Genomic DNA, 15,581 nt, shown 5'->3' on the forward strand with positions numbered 1-15,581 from the left:
GACACTTACTTAGGTTCTTTCCATATCTTGACTATTGTGAATAATGCTGTATTAACATGGAAATTCATATATCTTTCAAGGAGGTGATTTAAGTTTCTTTGGGTATGAATCCAGAAGAAAGATTGCTGGGCCATATAGTAGTTCTAGTTTTAAGTTTTGAGATGTTTTCATGTAGTTTTTCATAATAGCTTTACCAGTCTATTCCCACCGACAGTGTACAAGGGTTTCGCTTTCTTCACACCCTTACCAACACTTGTTATTCTTGTCTTTTTTATAATAACCATCCTAACAGGTATAAGGTGATATCTCATTATGATTTTGACTTGCATTTCCCTGATGATTCATGACATTGAGGACCTTTTAATATACCTATTGGCCATATTTGTGTCTCTTTGGAAAAATATCAGTTCAAATCCTTTGCCCGTTTTCAAATCAACTTATTATTTGCTATGAAGTTGTGTGAGTTTCCTATATATTTTGGACATTAGCCCCCTATCAGATATATGGTTCACAAATATTTTCTCCCAATTCGTAGGCCGCCTTATCATTTTGTTGTTTGTTTCCTTTGAAGTGCAGAAGCTTTTTAGTTTGATGTAGTCCCTCTTGTTTATTTTTGCTTTTGTTACCTGTGCTTTTGGTATCCTATCCAAAAAATTATTGCCAAAGCCAACGTCAAAGAACTTTTCCCCTATGCTTTCTTCTAAGAGTTTTACAATTTCAGGTGTTACATTTGGGTCATTAGTGCATTTTCAAATTGATTTTTTGTATGTGATTTAAGATGGGGTCCTGTTTCATTTTTGCATGTGGATATGCAGTTTTTCCAGCACAATTTATTGAAGTGACTATCATTACCCATTGTGTCTTCTGGATGCTCATGTTAAAAATTAGTTGGCTGTCTGGGCTTGGGTTTGTTTCTGGGCTACCTACTCTGTTCCATTGGTCTATGAATCTGTTTTTATGCCAGTATCATACTCTTTGATTGCTATAGCTATAAATTATAATTTTGAAATCAGGAAGTGTGACGCTTCCAACTTTGTTTTCCTTCTCAGGATTACTTTAGCTATTCAGAATATTTTGTGGGTTCACAAGAATTTTGGAGTTGTATTTTCTTTTTTTCTTTCTGAGACAGGGTCTCACTCTGTCACCCAGGTTGGAGTGCGGTGGCATGATCATGGCTCACTGCAGCCTTGACCTCCTGGGCTCAGGTGATCCTCCCACCTCAGCCTCCTGGGTAGCTGACACTAGAGGTGTGCCAAAACATCCAGTTATTTGTGTGTGTGTGTGTGTGTGTGTGTGTGTGTGTGTGTGTGTTTTATTTTTTGTAGAGATGGGGTTTTGCCATATTGACCAGGCTGCAGAATTGTTTTATTTTTCTATTTGTGTAAAAATGACATTGGAACTTTGATAGGGATTGCATTTAATTTGCGTATTTATAATTTATTGTTTTTCCTCTTGCATTCTTTCTTGCCTTAATTCCCTCCTACTCTTTTTCTCATTCATTTGATTTCAACCACATAATTATTGCACTTAGAAGGTTCTCAAACATAGATGAAACTCTTTTTTGTTTTATGTAACTATGCTAAATCATTGCATGTGTTCAGTTGAAGTCTACTCTTTGTTCTTCAATATAAGAAAAATAAGAATATGTTGAATTTCAAGCGATTTAAAATTGTTTATCACCTACCTAACAAAGCTTTGGTAACAGAATAAAAATTGTTTATAGTAGAGAGTATGCTGAACTGCTGAAACTGTTTTATATGTTAAGTTATCCAATCTTAACAGTTCATCACACAAAGCCTCTGGTGGGCTTTCATTCCATAATATTGTTTCTGCTGCAAACATGAACATGTTTGATAAATACGGATTTTTCTTAGGCACTAATGGTTGAAGCTAATATACACACACACAATCATGTACTTGTTAGCATCCCCAAGAAACAGATACGTAAAATATATTTCAATGTGCTTTTTTTGTATGTTAGTTTCTTTCAGGTAAAAAAAAGTAACTTCTCTGGTTTCTGTCTCCCTCTTCCAATTCCCTCACATTGATGCAGGCTCATTTCGAAGAATTTGATATGTGAGGCACATTTCATCTTACCTGCCTTTTATTTTGTGTTTATCAGCTTTTAATTTAAAAAAAATGGACTGGGAGTGGTGGCTCATGCCTGTAATCCCAGCACTTTGGGAGGCCGAGGTGGGTGGATCACCTGAGGTCAGGAGTTTGAGACCAGCCTGGTTAATATGGTGAAACCCTGTCTCTACTAAAAATACAAAAATTAGCTGGGGCGGGCACCTGTAATCCCAGCTACTCGGGAGGTTGAAGCAGGAGAATCGCTTGAACCCAGGAGGTGGAGGTTGCAATGAGCCAAGATCATACCATTGCACTCCAGCTTGGGCAACAAGAGCAAAACTGTGTCTCAAAAAAAAAAAAAAAAAATGTTTTCCAGAAATAGTACATGTATTTACTATAATTAGCTGATCAATGAGACCTGCTACCCTGGTCACTTTCCTAGATTCCATGCCATTGTTCAAATTCCAGTTTATTCCAGAGGAATTACATGAAAGACAGTCAAGAGAGAGGAGAGGATCTAGTTTCTGTAGCCCTTGGCTTCCCCTAATCTTGTGTTGCAGGTTAAATCTTCTGCTCTCCTTCTTGCACTCTAATATCATGTCACATTAACTCCTAATAAGCCTTTTGTTCCAAAAACCACAAAGTCGTGCAGGTAGAAAGCATGTGTTTATCACCCTACTGCTCTCAATTTTCTGGAATAGTTAAATAATATGCTGATATTTCATATCAATATTTGCATATAATCACAACCTGAGTTTTAAGGTTGAAAATCTTACTACTCAAAGGTGATCTACTTAGCAGTGACACTGATATATAGTCCCTAGATAAAATATAGAATAGCCAGTTAAATTGTAAATTCAGATAAAAATAATTTTTAGAAATATTTTTAGTAGATGTATAGCCATTGGGACATACACATCCAAACAAGTATACAAGGGTTTATCTGAAATCCAAATTTAACTGGGCTACCTGCATCTATAGTTGCTAAATTTGCCACCCTACATTGGCACCAGTTGGGGAATTTTAGAAATGCAGGGTCTTAGGCTTCTTCTCAAATCTAATAATTTAAAATCTGAAATTCAAGAAGAATCAAAGGTGATTAATATACACATTAAAGTCTGAAAAGCACTAAGAATGCCAGCAGAACATTTGACTTATTCCTCACATATTCATCTTTCTCTCTTCTATGCAGGGAGTGTGGAGTACTAACTGGAGTTAGCATATGCGATATTGTTGACATGCTGCTATAATAGCTGTTCATCAAATGGATACTTTGTCCACAAAATCTGAAAAATCAATTAAATTTGTATCTACCCTCTTGTACTAATACTATGACTTCCTATGCAAATCTAGCTGACCGTTTTCTTTTTTAATTGTCATTGTCTAGTTACTGACTGTATTCTAACTAATCTGCTACCTTGCCCTGTACTAAAGTGATAAAATAATATCAAATACAATTTACTAAATACTATCTATCAAGAATTTCATGGTGCTTTATATACATATTTTTCATTTTATTATAACATTGCAAATGAAATATAAATGTCTCCTTTTTATGGTTAAACAATCTGAGGCTCAAACAGGGTAGGAAACTATCTCCCAGTTCCATGGGAGGAAAGTGAATGTCAGGGCTGGGACAAAATCTGTTCTTCAGGTTTCCACCACCACACCATCGTGTTAGGCTGCACATCATAGAAGCTGGCCTGTAATCACTCCTCCTCCTTCTCCTTGCCTCTTAATTTTTTTATAGTATTTCATTGAAAAGAAAGTTGGATTAAACTGCTTCTCTTCTTGAATTGCAGTCTTTGCGAAGAATCAGTGCTAACTTTTTTGAAAATTAAAGTATTTTATAAGACTGATATGTTACAATTAAAATAAGTCTGCATAGTTCTAATTAAAATTTCAATGACATCAGTGAAAAAATAAATTGTATATGGTAGGAGTGATTTATTGGCTCTAAAATGCAATTAATTTTGGTGAAAGATATTTCCTCTTTTGTCTGTTTTTCTTTTAGCATAAACCCTCTATTTCATTTTTAGCATAAATCCATATGTGCTTTTATGTCACTTAGTACAGAGCCTGGAGATAATTGTGCCATCCCTCCCTGGAAGCACTAGCTTAAGAGGGAACAAAGGACAGCAGGGAAAGGTCATACTTGTTCTAAATGAGTCGGATCTGAAGATGGAATTTCAGACACTATGCTGACTGTGTAGAGAAAATAATTCTGATACTTTAGATCATACTATATAGTTAACAGTTTACCACCTGCATAACATTAGTATCAGGTGGGCATGAATTTGCTCTCTTAATTTGCTCATAGCCCTTGTGTTATTGTTGTTGTTCTAACAATTTAAATAACTTAGTTCAAGTGGAGAATAAGCAAACATCAATGCTTTTTAATAATCTCTCTTTCAATACACAAGGCCCTTTGCTTTAGCTTTGCTTGCAATCGCTCCATGCCTAAACCTAACAGACACCACCAATGTGTGTGTAACTAATTCTTTTTTACATATTTTAGATGAAAACGAACAGCCTTTTCCCCAGGTTCTTTTACAAGGCTTTTTTGTATAAACAGATACTCCTGGTTGGCCATCACCTTGTAACAGGAAAGGGGTTTTTGATCCAGACCCCAAGAGAGGGTTCTTAGATCTTGCGCAAGAAACAATTCAGGGCAAGTCTGTAAAGTGAAAGCAAGTTTATTAAGAAAGCAGAGGGCCGGGCGTGGTGGCCCACGCCTGTAATCCCAGCACTTTGGGAGGCTGAAGCAGGCGGATCACGAGGTCAGGAGATCGAGACCATGGTGAAACCCCGTCTCTACTAAAAAATACAAAAAAATACAAAAAAAAAAATTAGCCGGGCGCGGTGGCGGGCGCCTGTAGTCCCAGCCACTCCGGAGGCTGAGGCAGGAGAATGGCGTGAACCCGGGAGGCGGAGCTTGCAGTGAGCCGAGACCGCGACACTGCACTCCAGCCTGGGTGACAGAGCAAGACTCCGTCTCAAAAAAAAAAAAAAAAAAAAAAGAGGAGCAAAAGAATGTCTACTCCATAGACAAAGCAATCCGGAGGGCTGCTGGTTGTCCAGATTTATGGTTATTTCTTGATTATATGCTAAACAAGGGGTGGATTATTCATGCCTCCTCCTTTTAGACCATATAGGGTAACTTCATAACATTGCCATGGCATTTGTAGACTGTCAAGGTGCTTGCTAGTGGGAGTGTAGCAGTGAGGATGACCAGACGTCACTCTCGTTGCCATCTTGGTTTTGGTGGGTTTTAGCTGGTGGGTTTAGTCTTTATTACCCGTATCTTGTTTTGACTTCCTATCTCAGTCTGTGACTTAGAATGCCTTAACTGTCTGGGAATGCAGCTCAGTAGGTCTTAGGCTTATTTTACTCAGCTCCTATTCAATATGGAATTGCTCTGGTTCACACACCTCTGACAATCTGACTAAACTTTTCTCAACCCATAATTTCTACACTTTCTAGCTAAAATCAACTGGCAACTGTGGAGGAAAAAGTAGGCCATTATGTAAAAGTAAAGTTTTGGGTAAATGCAGGTTAATAAATTGATGAGAATACAGGAGATCAAGAAAAGTTATGGATATGAGGAATAATTCAGAGGTATATACTGACCTATAGAAGACATTTTAAGAGAGGGATGATTTTATTAGTACTTCTTGCCTATGATCCAAATTTTTAACATTGCATGACCTCACTCATCTCAACATTTACCAGTTATGGATTCATGTGAGTTAACAAAGATCCATTTACATAAGGGATCAATATTTCCAGTCTGCCTGGGACAGCCCTGGGTTAGCCTGTTGTCCTGGCATAGTTATTAAGAGTATCTCTTTTGCCTGTAAAATTGTTGTGGTTTGGACAAATTATTCTATATTAACTCTAAATTTCAGGATCACAACAATAACTGGATGTATAAAAAGGCACCATTACATATTTGTTCAAAGGAACCACTTTCACTACTTTTCTAATGACTCTTAACTGAAATCAGATGCAACAAAAGAAATGAAATTTTTGGTGGCTGTTGGGCAAGCTGATGTTGACTATTGCTAACTAGGCCTGGAAGATATGTCATAGATAGGGCTTAGAGAATTACCAGAGCAATTGAAAGTAGCATTGAAAGAGGAGTTTAGTAAATAAGTATACTGAGGACAAACTTTGCATTTTTAAGAAAAGATTGATTTTACTCAAAATAACATGGAAGATACTTTCCTTTTTCTTGCTTTATCTTCTTTTCTGTTCACTCTTTTTCTTCTATTCTTTTCCCCATAGTTCTATTCTTTTCCTCCTTCTCTTCTTTCCTTTTGAAACCATAAACCAAAACTAAAATTCTAAGGCCCCCCAGTCATCTAAATGGACTTCCTCTTCAGCCAGGGCTCTTTAAATTTAACCTGAATGACTGGTTCAGGCCATGAAGGAAAGTGGGGGGTCAGATATGCCTTATTATAACTCTCTGGCATTAACATCAACAGACTTTAGGTCTGATAAGAAACATTTTATACCCTGTTCCTTCTGAGGACTGCTAGCTAAAAGCTTCACCTGTATAATGAAACTTTGGTCTCCACCACCTCTTATGACAACCCAAATATTCCTTTCTATTGATCCCAGGGCTTTAGACAAACTCCACCAATTGTCAACCAGAAAATATTTAAATTTACCCATAACCTGGTAGCACAACCCTCACCCCACCCCCTGCTTTGGGTTGTCCCTCCTTTCTGGACCAAACCAATCTATTTCTTAATCTACTTGATTGTTGTCTCATGACTCCCTAAAATGTATAAAACCAAGCTGCACCCCAACCACCTTAGGCACGTCGTCAGGACTTCCTGAGTCTGGGTCATGGGCACGCATCCTCAACCTTGCCAAAATAAACTTTCTGAATTAACTGAGACCTGTCTCAGGCTTTCTAGGTTTACAAAACTCATGCCCCTATAATCAGAACTCAGAACTTATTTCATGTTTAAGGGCTTAATGTTTCTAGCACTCTAGAGGTTTAGCGGGATTTTACGAGTTCTCCTGAGAATAGAACCACAATCAGTATCCACACTTCCATAAGAAAAGATTTTGAGTGCTAAAGAAATGGACTATGAAAAAAAAAAATCGATGTAAGTCAACCATCTGTAAGTGGCCTCTTGCCTGTGATATATTAATACCATTTGTATGCAAGAAAGGAAAGGAGAACAATGTCCACATCACTCAAGTAACCTATGTGTACTTGTTTGTCGTGATATTGATGCCATGATTTGGTATATTAATAACATCTAATACCCTTATCAGATAATTTCTATTTGCTGAAGTGAGACACTTCACTTCCCTAAGAAAAATATTTTTACAATCTGCCCTTGTATTTAAGTATTGCCAGATTCTTTGGGCAAAGATAGAACTGGTCAATTTGACAACTTAGGAATGCTAAGCCATATGTTTATAAGGAAGACAGATACATGTATTAGAATGGATTTGCTTATTTAATATCTCCTACTAGATTGGAACTCTATAACGGTGTAGACTAAATACACCTTGCTTACCTTCTTACAGAGTGTTTAACATTGTGCATGGTACCTAATATGTGCTGAATAAATTTTTATTGAATGAATACATAAATCATTTTAAAAGAGTAACATGGAAAGAGGAAATATATTAATAAAATAATCCTAATCATGCCAAGTAAGAAACATCAGGAAACTAAATTGGATGGATAGTGATATTTTCTTTTCTCTAAAATCATATAAGATGATAGAATTTACCTTTGGATAATTTTGTTAGGATGATTTTTGTATTTGTTTTATTATATATTATCTCATTCATTGTAATCTTTATATTCATAATTTTCAAGTGTGAGTATCTATTAAAATCACAAACAGTTTTAACAATCATAAAATATTCGGTCTAACATTTTTTTATTATATGAGTCATGTCTGTTTTATCCGTGGAGTACTTGGATTAAGCCCTATGTTCATAGCCCTAAAAAAATTGAAGTCAAATAATCAGGATGTTTTTATTTAGGTTATAATATATGCTTAGCAATTTACTAGGTTGTATTAGTTAAAATTATATTTGTTTATGAACCAAGCAGAACCTCCAAAAAATAGATCCTTAAGTAAAGTAAAAGTTTACTCCTCTGTCATGGAAAAGAAATAAACAAGTAGACAGCCAATGGCTACTGTCAGGGAAGCAGGCTTCTCCTATCTTGTTGCTCCATTTATAAGGTCTCCAAATAGTTCAACATGGATGCTACAGTTTCAGACAATCAATGATATTCTAAATAGTTTATGGAAGAATATTTATTGAAAAAATTCCTTTCATTTTAAGGAATTTTCCTGGAAAAACATTATAATTTGTTCATAAATACCTTATTGGCTAGTACTTAATCATATGGTTACAACTTGTTACAAGAGATATTAAGAAATATTTTATATTAGAAGCAAAGCACCCAGCTAAAAGCCAGTTTGTCTATTGAGAAAGATAGTGAAATGATATTACAACAGTTTATTTCATATGAGATGTGGTGGAAAGAAACAAAATAAACAAAAGCAGCAATTCCTAATCTTATGGAGAACCTCAAGTGTATTGACTGTGATTTAGGATTCAACCAGAAAACAGAAGGATTAAATCTTGTGATAGAAAATATAGGGGACCTAGATATTCATGAAGGAAAAGAGCAACCTGGATAGAAACAGAAAACATAACACAGGCAAAGAATACAAATTCATTGAATGAATTAAAAGAAAATTGAGAGAATAAATGAACATTCAATTTTGTTGTTTGTTTTGAGAACAGCTCAGAGTCACACAATATGGTGAGGGAGCTACTTTAACATTTATAACTTAACATTATAATGTCAAATACTACTGCATTATACTTTTGGGGGCTTTGTGCAACTATATATATCAATTTTCATTAATAAACATATTTTTTGAAGTTTATACTCCTCTGTCTCTCAAAAGGGATAGAGGTAGAATATTCCTAGTATCTTAGAGACGTTATGATCCATCAGCTAATGAAACATATCCAGGTTGTACAAAATCCTTCTTTCCCTAAGTGCGACAACACTTCCAAAGCTTATAAGTATTTCTACTTAGACAAGGCCAACCTCCCACTATGCAGAAAGATGATAATGAAGAAATAACTTTAAAGACAACACTCATTAATCTTTGTGCTGTATCCATGAGGGAGGTAACTACTACATAAATTATACATTACATGCAAGGAGAGAGCTCACAAAATAAATAAATAGAGGTGTTAGAAGCAAAATTGGGACAGGAAAGCTTCTTTGTCCTTTAGTCTTTAGCCATTTTTTAGGGAAAGAAGGAAGACTATAAGTGTTTCACTAGATAAACAGCAAATGCAGAGATTGCAAAAATCAGACACTGCATCTAGTGTTTTTCATTTTGAAAATGTCTGCAATTGCTTAAGAATTCCCCTAGGTAACCATCTATGCTTCTTTATGTTGATGCCATTATTCTTTACAGATGACTGACGATTACTGCTAATTAAAGTATCAAGCACTGACTTTCTTTTCTGAACTTTGGAATGATTTAAGGGATTTCTTTAAGTATTAAGAAAAAACTTATTTTGCAGGGAGGTGAAAATTAAAGGTCTGAAATACCTGTTTGGGATTGCATTGCTGGAGGGGAAACTTTCTAGCTGGAAATTTATTCTCCATGGTTAGGGTTCTATGTCCGTTCCACCAATTTTAAAATGTGTTTTGTACAGCACTATCTATAAATGGTGCTGACCTTGTAAAGGATAAACGCTAACATAATGGAAAAAAAGAAAAGAAAAATTGAATTCTCAGTTGCTAGAGACTAAAGTGCTTCAAAATAATCACTGAGCCTGTTTCAGAAACTTCAGCCTGCAGAAATAAAGTGGCTCATCCACAACCATGGCATGTGAGTGGGAGAGAGCAGGGCCAGTGCTCACTCTGTTTTCCTTTAAAGAATGATAGGGCCTGGATCTGTTTAAGAAGAAACTGATAAGGTAATCAAAGTCATCACCAGAGGCATTGCTTTTGCATTTCATAGAAGCAGATTGTGAATGGGCTAGAAGTAGGTGATTCTTCTGCTGTTTGAGTTCTGAAGTCTTTTCTGTCTTATCTTCACTCTGCTTTTACATTTTTGTTTCTGACTATATTGTATTACAAATCATGTAGAGTCAACATATAAACCAGTTTTATGACTGGAATGCCATCACACATAAAATAATACAGATAATCATGAACAATTAAACATATGACACCCATTGAGTGTTATGTTATTTTGGTGACCATCTTATTCTGTAACACCTTATTTTAGCTACACAGTGCTGTTTTAATGTACTTCTTTCTGCCACAAGCATCCTCATATTCCACTATCCTCCCCTATTCTTATTATTATATTCTTATTTATATTTTCACTTGCTCTAAAAAGCATTATTAAGTTTCAAATGTTTTGTGAAACATGTTATAAAATACATGTATGTTTATAGAATGTGACATTCTTAAGGGAAGGTCCCTTTTTGAATCCATCTTTTTAAAATTAACTCATCTGAATTGATTCTGATCAATATATGTTTAAATATCTTGTATCTTGTATTTATCTTTTCAAATGATCCTTTATTTTCATGTACTACATAGACAGATGTTATCATAAAATCACATATAAAATCTGTTTTTATTATTATGGAATAAATCTCTTACATTATCAGAAATGTAACCATTACATCAGAAATGTAGTTCCATTGGTTAAACAATTTTGCCAGCTTGCAACAAATAATGACAAGTTAAATGTCAATGTTCCAAAAATTAAAATATCCATATTAGATCTTCATCCTTTTTTCTTTGTTCATTTTCAAATCAATGTACTTATTATTCTGCACACCTAAAAATGTTCATTGGGAAAACATAAGGTAGTTCCCAATGTATTAAAATATAATTCATACAGATTTTTAAAATTTTGTGATTTAAAACATGCTTTATGAAAATATATATTTGTGGAAATAAATGCCTGTACATATCACACATCTCAAATTTTTCTTTGCTTCTTTCCAACTGAGAGTGTGTGGTTAAAAAGAATAGAAGACGAAAGAGAGAAAAATTGACAGTACAGATCATGTTTTCAGTATTAATATAGTATACAACCTATCAGTTAACTGGATTTTTAAAAATCTAATGTCCCTCCACGTTTCGTTTTCTTTGGACAAGGCAATGAGATAAAACATTAAGAAACCATGTATTTTCTATAGGAAAACCCTACAACAACAAAATGTTGTAAAAAAAAAAAAGCAAAAATGATATTACCTATTACCAATTACTTACGAAAATGTGATTTCTGGGTATCTGAATGGAAAATGATGGATAATTCAAAGCTATATCATTATGTTCTGTTCCAAAAAGATAAAATATAGACTTAAAAAATCATCATAAATTATTGCCTTAATCACAGTTCAGTAGCAGTGCAGTACAATGAATTATTATCTTAGATTATCCACAACTAGGGAAGTATGTATACTGGTTCTTACCTCCTCCTTTCAACAGGTTGCACACATATTTATGCTCAGAATAAAACATTGCCATAGGGTTCCATTTAATCTGAAGAACATAATGTAAAAAAAATCTGAATTGTTGTTTGTTGCGTAAGTGATAAAGCAATGGGAGCTAATACTAAGTACCATACCTGATTTATTATTAAAAATACTTCATCTGATTCTCATAAAATTTCCATAAATGTTTATTAATTGGATACCATTATAATTACTTTGTGTATATGAGTACTTAAAATTCAAGTAAATTAAATAACTTGCCCAAAGTTAATAGCTGTAAGAGATGGGAACCCAGCAGGTCCCCACATTTGTTTGTTCAGGTTTTAACATGTACTGGTGTGTTGTGTTATGTGGAGGTTAGCTCCATTCAACCCATACTCCTCTTCCTAAGCCGGACTGTTTTGGTAGTGCCTTCACTCAAGGGGAATGTCTTTGCCTAATTTGCACAAAGACAATCTGGACCCAGGCTTGAACATTAATATGTATGATTCCAAAATTAATTTATGGTACTAACCATGCATTTTGACATACCAAGTAAACAGGCTTGAGTTGCTTTTCGAAGTATTTGTCGATATTTTAGAAGTCATATTCTCAACTGATTTATTTAGTAAAATGTCTTGAATTACCCCATCTCAGACAAAAGAGAACAGGACAGTTAAAAAGAGAGACTTAAATGGAATGTTCCTCAAAAGTCAGAAAACTCCAACTATTCTTGATTTAAAGAAAATTTTCAGTGCTCCAAGAAAAAAAAAAAAAGCCTCAGAGTGAGGTATGAATCTAAGGAAGTTTTGCATCACTAAGAGGCAGCAGAGACAGAGAAGGCCAAAAGTAGTATATAACAAGAAATAGGAAAATTTTGGAAGAAGAAAGCAGGTGGAACTGTACCAAATGATTTGGCAAAACGCAGGAGCTAAAACCTAAGTGGACTTGGGGAAGCCAGTAAAAGCTACTAGACTGCTAAGAATTATAGGAGACATACCTTACCCCTCAAGAAAATCAGATCTCTAGACACCTTCCCAGAATCCATGCCATCCAATAACTGTGTCTTCTTCAATGCCAGCAGAATTTTACTGTCTGAAGTCCTGGGCTCAAGGACACTGAGTTGAGCTGTGCTTCTGAATGAAGGATCTCGGGAATGGGAGAATTCACTTTATGGCAACAAGAGTGAGATACCCAAAGCTCTTGCCTGCTTGGGTTTCCTATTGCTGGCTGCTAGATTTATCACTCCTGATCTCGTTTTCTCAACCACTGCAGAAGCTTAGAGGATTTCTCTGTGGAGAGACTGAACTAAAGTCCCACCAATACTAACATTCAATGGTTTTCAACAAAATGGCCAAGTCCCTACTTTGTCATCCTGTTTTGATATCTCTCAATGGAGAAGGCGCATCCTACAGAGAGAGTCCAATCACATTCTTTACAGTTCTGTTCTTTAAATACAAACGTTTAAACAGAGATTATCAGATATCTGGATGTAACTCGTGTGGTGTACACCGAGGATTAACTACTCAAAATCCATTCAATCTTCATGTCCCTTCCCTTTTTATAATGTAGAGGTTTCCCAGGATCCCTTGCGGCTCAGGTCATGTGATCCTATTTTAGTCAGAATTTTCTGGATAAGGCTTCTAGAATTTTTTTTTTCTCAGCCAGTATCTCCTTCAGTACAATAACTCCAACCTTTTTTTCTATCTTCTTGCTCATAATGTAGACATAATATCTAGGTTCTGCAGCTATCCTGAGGCTGTGGGAAGGAAGTCAAATAATAAGGTGGCTCAGAAGTATAACAAAGGAGTTTGGTATCTTCATTACATTTTGAGTTGCAATTGCCCTTGCTTTTTGTTAAGGTGAGGATAGGGGGTGGTATATTTTCAAGATAATATTGACATGATAGATTTTTTTTCCCGATATTTAATTATAAAAGTTTAAACATAGAGCCAATTAGAAAAAAATTTACAATGACTGTGCATATCTACCACCTGGATTTTATCATTCATACTTTATTATATTTGATTTATCACACATCTAGCCATTCCTCTAGCCATCTAATTTTTGATGCATTTTAAAGCTAATTGCAGATCTCAGAACATGAGATCTCAATATTAATTTACAGATTTTTTTGCCTTTGATGTAAAATTTACATAAAAGAATATGGCTAAATCTTGTGTATTTGCTGAGTATAAATAAATATATACATCTGTGTAACCAAAATCTCTATGAATATGTAAAATGTGAGTATCACCCTAGACATTTCCCACAAGCCCCTTTCCAGTAAATCTCTGTTGACCCTCTTTCCACCAGAGACTAGCTCTTCTGAGTTTTTCCAGAAATTAGTTTCTCCAGCCTAGAATTTTATATAATTGGCCAGTACATATGTACTCTTTTGTAGATGGCTTTAATTTAACTTAATACAATTTGCATTTCTGGCCAGGCGTGGTGGCTCACACCTGTATCCCTGCACTTTGGGAGGCTGAGGCAGGAGGATCACTTGAGCTCACCAGTTCAAGACCATCCTGGCCAACATGGTGAAATGTTGTCTCTACAACAAATACAAAAAATTAGCTGGACATGGTTGTACGTGCCCGTAGTCTCAGTTACTCGGGAGGCTGTGGGAGGATGGCTTGAGCCCGAGAGATGGAGGTTACAGTGAGCTAAGATCATGCCACTACACTCCAGCCTGGGCAATAGAGCTAGGCTTTGTCTCAAAAACAAAAAAAGGAAAATATATATATATTTACATAAATATATATGTTTGTGTATATATACACACACACATAAATGTATATATACACACATACATACATAAATTATATGTATATATAGTTTGCATTTCTCTGATGATTAATGATAAACACACTTTCATGTGCTTATTGTTATTGTCATAGATTCTTTTATCTAATGTTTAATATTTCCCACTTTTGTTGAATTTTTCTTTTTTTAATATTAATTTGTATGAGTTATTTATATGTCCTGGATACAAGTCCTTCATCAGATGCATATTTTCTGAACATTTTTTTCAAGTTTGTGACTTCCCTATTCTTTTTCATAATGGTGTCTTTTGATAAGCAGAAGTTTTTACTTTTGATATATAACCTGCAGAATTTTTCTTACTTTATGATTTTTTAAAATGCTCTAAGAAATGTTTACCTACCCCCTACTTATGAATATATGCTTTAATATTTTCCTTCACACACTTTATGATTTTGGCTTTTATGTTTAAATCTATAATAAATCCCACAAAAATCTTGGTGTATTAAATGAGGTAGGAATTAAAGTTTATTTTCTTATTATTGACAGCCAGTTATTCCAGAACTGGTTGTGGAAAAGACTCTACTTTTCCCAATGGATTGATTTGGCTCTTTGGTAAAATACCAAATACCTGTAAAAGTATGGGTCTATTTTTGAACTTTCCAGTCTGCTCCAAGATCTTCTTGCCAGTCAGTTCACCAGTGTGTACACTGTCTTTACATGATGAATTTATAGGAAGTTTTGATATCAAGTAGTATAAGCCATTCAACTATTTTTCCCTTTTTTCAAAATTCCTTTAGATAGTCTAGGTTATTTGCATCTTGTATAAATTTTAAAAATTGCTGGTCAGTTTCTACTAAAATTCCTGTTTGTAATATAATTGATATTCCGTTGAATATTTAGAGACACTTTGTAGAGAATTGTCATTTAAAAAAATAGTTTTCTAAGCCACGAATAAGCTATATTTCTCCATATACTTAAGTCTCAGTTAATTTTTTCAGCAATAGTTTGTAGTTAGTGTAGAATTCTGGTAAATTTTATATTTTATTTCAAAAATTATATATTTTATAGATTCTATCATAATTTGAATTTTTAAGTATATATATTTTATTTTTTTATTGCCAGCATACAAATGTACAATTGTGTTTTTTGGCATGTCATCCTCGTACACAGGGACTCTTGAAAGAACTAGTCCACCATGGGCTCTGAACTTCCCCACACATTTTTGTTGAGTGTAT

The sequence above is a fragment of the Homo sapiens genome, chromosome 10, assembly GCF_000001405.40.
Source record: "Homo sapiens chromosome 10, GRCh38.p14 Primary Assembly".
Classification (NCBI taxonomy): domain Eukaryota; kingdom Metazoa; phylum Chordata; class Mammalia; order Primates; family Hominidae; genus Homo; species Homo sapiens.